Here is a 6092-nt window from a genome sequence, read left to right as displayed (position 1 = left end):
CATCCTAGAGGCCTCCTTCAACCCTTCTGAATTTCACCAGTTCCTAAATAAACTAGCTTGCAAATTCTGTCCTTATCCTCCCCTTCTGACTCTGCTCCCAGCCTTGCCCCTTTCTTTCAAAGCAACCGCAAGATTGAGGCAGTGTTGGGGTGGGAGCAACAAGAGGCTCAACTATCTTTTTAGTTTCCTTTTTTTTTTTTTTTTTGACACAGGGTTTTACTCTGTTGCCCAGGCTGGAGTGCAATGACACGCTGACGGCTTCATGCAGCCTTGACCTCCTGGGCTCAAGCAATCCTCCCACTGCAGACTCCCTAGTAGCTGGGACTACAGGCCTGAGCCACCATGTGCAGCCAATTTGTGTATGTTGGTAGAGCTGGGGTTTCGCCATGTTGGCCAGGCTGGTCTCAAACTCCTGGACTCAAGTGATCTGCCTGCCTCAGCCTCCCAAAGTGCTGGGATTACAGGCTTGAGCCAGCGCACCTGGCCAAGGGTCACCTATCTTACTAGGCTTGTCAGAATCTACTCCTGGCACACAGGGGCTTAAAAGTCAGATCTGCTTTCAGATCCTACCTCCCTCTGCCACTTACTAGCTGTGTGACCTTTGGCAGGTCACACACCCTTTCTGAGCCTCAATTCTTCATATGTAAACTAAATTTACACATATAAATTCTACATTAAGTAGAATTATAAATGTGAAGACCTCACGTGATCTGGCATGTAGCCGGCATTCCATAAATGCAAAGTGATTTTCCTTATGACTACAGGGACACTTACACAGACACATATACACACACTCAACCAAAGACAGAATTTGGGAACTTTACTCTCCTGAGCATGTAGCAAGATGGTATGTCAAGGAAACAAAATTCAGGGGTGTGTATTCCGAGATGCCAAGAACCCCCATGGATTCTAACCCTCTCTACATATGTCAGCAGTGATCGACCTGTTCTGAACCCAACTGGGTGCTGTCTTGGTCAGTGGCCATAGTTTGCTTGGCAAAATGCCAGGATAGCTGTCCTGGACCCTTTGGGAAAAGGCCACTTGTGGGTGGAGCAGCCACTCACTCCTTCCTCCAGAAGGCTTGGTGCCGCCACATTCCCTGGTTTCAAGCTACCACATTGCTGCTGTGGTTTTTTGCGGTGGCCACAGGGTGGAATCTTGGCCCAGGATGCCCTGTGGCTGCTCTCTGCAGGCATTGAGGACACATACCCTGAAAGGCTCGGGAGAAGGTGGAGAGAAGGGAGAGTAGTCTTTTACCAGAGGTGTTCCTGGACCATTCACTGGACGCTAAATGGCAAATAGAGAGGCCACGCCCCTGCTGGCCAACATAGATCACTGCAGCCCCTCAGCCTTTGGGTAGAGGCTGTTCCTGAGTGATTAGGATCTCTGCTTGGAAGGCACTTCAGTACTCATAGCCAGGATGAGGCTGCTTCTGTGGAGCAGCAGATAGGTAGTGGGTGTGTGAAGAACAGAGAAAAGAATAAACATTGCCTCCTGCATTGCCCAAAGCAGTGCGCTGGGCTTGGCAGGGTTGCAGGAGGCCAGGGGTGGTTTCAGACCCCTAACTCAAGCCTCAAAAGACAGGATATGCTCAGAACACATTGCTCCTGCAGAGGCTGGTGTTGACTCTGAACCTGTGAAGATTTCTGCAGCCATGAGCAGCCTTGGACTTTCAGGGTAGAGAGCTGTTCAGCAAGAGGATCCATCTGGGGGTCCAGTCACCTGACCCCTTTTCCCATCAGAACACAAATCAAAGGCCATCACTAAGCCCTTCCTGCCTAGGCTCAGAGGAGACACACTCAGTTGCCATCCTGGCTCTGTGACCTCTGGACAAGTCTCCTAATCTCTCCAACCTTCAGCTTTCTCATCTGTAAAGTGGATATGATCTTCAAGATGCAGACCATTCTCAGAGGCGTGCCATGAGGATTATAGATGGTGCAGGTGGAGGGCCCGCTTGTGGTAGGCACGCACTGCAATCATGAGGTTTCCAGAGACTTCTCTGCAGGCTGCTAAGGTGCAGCAGGAGCTGTTGCTGCTAACCTCAGCGAGGTGTGCCAGCACGCCAGATCAGACTCCTCAAACCAAAGCAGACAGAAGCTGGGAAGGGCTGAAAGCCCGACACTGCAACCTGAGCAAAGGGTGCCTCACTTGTCTGTTTGAAAAGCTCATGAAACCCTTGAGCATTGCTGGTGGAAATTTAAAATGGTGCAGCCATGGTGGAAAGCAGCCTGGCAGTTGGTCAACAAGGTAAATATAGAGTTACCACATCACCCAGTAACTCCATTCCTAGGTATATACCTAGGAAATAAGAACAAATGTCCACAGAAGAACTTGTATGCAAATGCTCATGGCAGCATTATTTATAGCAGCCAGAAGATGGAAACAACCCAAATATCATCAACTGATGAATGGATAAATAAAATGTGGTATATCCATGCAGTGGGCCATTATTCAGCCATAAAAATGAATGTATGGACCTACCATGTGGATGAATCTTGAAAAGATTATGCTAACTGAAATAAGCCAGACACAAAAGGACAAACATTGTATGATTCCATTTCTATGAAATGTCCAGTATAGGCAAATCCATAGAGAGAGAAAGCAGTTCAGCGGTGCCAGTGCCTGGGGATGGGGAATGACTGTTAATGTGCGTGAAGTTTATTTTGGGGATGATGAAAATGTTTTGGAATTACATAGCAGTGGTGGTTGCACAACTCCGTGAATATCTAAAAACCACTGAATTCTATGGCATGTGAGTTAAATCACAATAAAACTGTTATTTTAAAAAGGACCCTTAGCCTGCCAGCTGGAGTGTGCTTTGACCATGGACCAGCAAATGAGGTGGGCCATGCAGGGAGTGCAACTCTTGTGAGCCTTGCCTATAAATCAGATTAAGCGGCTTCTCTCCCTCAGCTGCCCCGGGTTCTGAAGGGGCTGCAGCAGCCACAGTCTGTCTCTGAACACCACCCTAATGAAAAGGCTGCTGAGGGCGCTGTGGCCTAGAGCGTAAGCATCCACAATGCTCACTCCAGGCCCTAGGCCAGCCTCACCCGGATAGCCCAGCTCGCAGTCACATGGGGAAAATCAGAGTTTACGAGCATGCTCTGCTTCGGTTTCAACACTGACGGGGATCACGTTTTCCAAACCAGGCATCAGAACTGATTGTATGGTTTGTACCCATGGGGACAGTGGGATGCACCATTTTAAGTGATATCCGTCTCCAAAAATTTGGGCATAAGGCTCCGGTTTTCCAGAACACATTCATCTCCTTCTGTTCCCCCAAACAGACAAGTTTTCTAAGAACTTCAACTCTCTGGGGAGTCCTAGACAGAAGTTAGAGTTTCCTACAATTCAGGTCTCCTGACGTTTAATCAGAACTGTACTTTTTCAGACTGAGAGCCAATCGAATGCACCGTTCAGCTTGAGGGCTGCCTACAACCACCTTCACAGCGGGGCATAGAGTCCAGACCTCGAAATCACCCTGCAGGCCTGTTTCCTGTTTCCTTGGGTCATCGACTGGAATCTTGCCGGGAAGTGTGATGTGGCCGGAACACTGACCGGTCTCTTCACTCTCCCCACACACCTATGTGTGCACACATGACTACCATTCCCCCGCTGCAGACCAAGCATGGGGCAGTCACACTCGGGAGAGCCGCTCAGTATTATCTAAAATGACTTTGTCTGGTAGCTTCCACTGAGGGAGGGGCTCATGCCTGCTGGGGAGCCTTGATCTCATACAGGAACAGGGCTCAAGAGAACTCAGGACTTCATTCATATCCGGGACACTCCTTCACAAAGGTACCACAAGGTTTCTACTGTCCTCCACCTCTGCCCCCCTGGACCCAGCCCCCACCATCTCATATCTGGATGAATCCAACAGCTACAGAGCTGGTCTTTCTACTTCTACCCTTGTTCTCTCCCTTCCTTAAGTCTCTTCTCAAATCAGCAGACAGATGCTTTCAAAACATAAGTAAGTTATGTCACTCCTCTGCTCAACACCATGCAATGGCTCCCATCATACTCAGAGTAAAAGCCGAAGTCCTTACAGTGGCCTACAAGGCCCTATGTGATATGCAAACTCCTCTCCACACATATCCCCCAGCCCACACACCCCCACTCACCACCACACACACACACTCATCCGCCCCTGCCTCCCCACCGACCCCTCTCTGAAGTCCTGTCCTCCAGCCTCATGCTCATCACTCTGTTCCTCCTGCTGTTCCTCCACTTCACGTTGCCTTGCACTCACTGCCTGGAAGGTTCTTCCCAGTTATCTGCACAGCCCCTGCCCACACATCCACCGCTTGAATCTCCCCTTACCACAGGGGCCTTCCTTGGCCACCTGTTTAAAGTGGCCATCCTCCATAACCCCTGACCCTGTTTATTTTTCTTAATGGCACTTAACACCATTCACATATCATATATATATATATATATATATATATATATATATATATATATATATATATACACACACACACACACTTATATCTAGGATATCATATATGTATATATCTAACCTGTTTGTCTATCATCTCAGTGGGAATAAACAAAGACCAACCCTATGATAAAGCGAGGGCCATTTATTCCGAGCTTGCTATATTAAGGGAGTCAGCAACTGGCACTTGCCTTTGGCGAGAGGCCCAAAGGCAGGCAGAGGAGAGGGAGAGCTTCATGGTGGAAACCGGGGAAGGCTTCAGGTGAGCCCTGCTTACAGGCTGTTGGCAGGAGGAAGCTGGAGGTGGGCTAGAGGCAGGGCAGCCTATGTGATTGGTTAGGGTGCATATTTGGCTTTCTGTGATGGGTCCTAATTAGGACTCGGGGACAAAAATAGGGAAGCTATCAGTTATTAACCAAGTTCTGGCCATTTGGGGCCCATTGGTACATGGGTTGTTTAGCTTCCTAGATTGTCACTAGAGATAGCAGTCTGGCCTCCTGCAAGTCTGATAGCAGGCTGGCTTCGTGCGTTGTTCATTATAATTAATTATCTATAATAACTATAGATAAGGGAGTGGGTTTCCTGGGCAGGTTCCCTGCTGCAGGCTGTGGGGCAGTGTTCTGTTTTTATATAGAGTCCAGCCATCTCTCTGTGGTTCTGTTGTATGTTCAGTCTTTTATACCTCATTAGAATATAAACACTAAGAATACTGTTTTATTTACTGTTGTATCCCCAGAGCCTAGAATAGTGCCAGTTACCTAGCAGGTACTCAGAAACTATCTGTTGTTGATTATGATCATGTTTATCTAGCTCTAGTTAGAAAAGTTGTGATTTTGCTACATGATGTGGAAAAAAGGCCAACCACAAGCCTGCTTCATTCAATCCAGTTCTATAAATGTTTGTTGAGTGCTTGCTACATATCCAGGAGGTTCTGTGTTAGGCCACTCCAGGTTACACAAGACGAGTATTAGCTGAAAATGGATTGACAACCAGGATTCTAAATGCTTTTGCCTTTCCTCCAAATTTCTCTTCGACTTTAAATTCAACTCCACCTATAACACCACTGCAGGTTCCAGGCCCATTATTCTTTCAGAGGCTGTGTGGGCCCATGTCTAGTTTCTCCAGCACTCACTGCATGTGGAGCTCATTTAGCTCCTCTCAGAAAGGGCCTGTGTGGCAACCGGTTGTTTTTTGAATGAGCTGATTATCTTCTCAGTTGGGTTATTCCCTGAGAGCCAGAGCCACACCTTGCCCCCAGTGCAGGTGACACATAGGAGGGTCCAGGGGTGATGGGAATCTCCCCCACTCCCCATTTTGGACCTTTGCCCTGAACTCCAAATCAAATATCTCACTGATGTCAGGTTTCTTTCATATTCTGCACACAGAGGTCACACTGCCTCAGAGCTGCCATGTGGAGGTGCATTAACAGTCTACTGTCCTGATAGCGCAAAACTGGGAGCCCTACTTGGACATCTCAACTATTTTCTGACAAGGGCTTTCTGCTTTTTTTTTTTTTTAAGGTTCTGAATTATCTGTTCCTCTGGGGAAACATTCCAGGGATTTTATTCCTGGCTAATTTATCTTTCAAGTCGAACACTCAAGGATCCAAGGAGCAAATAGGCCAGGATGCAGCTGGAACTAGAACTCTGTGGAA

The sequence above is a fragment of the Homo sapiens genome, chromosome 7, assembly GCF_000001405.40.
Source record: "Homo sapiens chromosome 7, GRCh38.p14 Primary Assembly".
Classification (NCBI taxonomy): domain Eukaryota; kingdom Metazoa; phylum Chordata; class Mammalia; order Primates; family Hominidae; genus Homo; species Homo sapiens.
The sequence above is the reverse complement of the archived record's forward strand: the minus strand, read 5'-3'. Positions refer to the sequence as shown.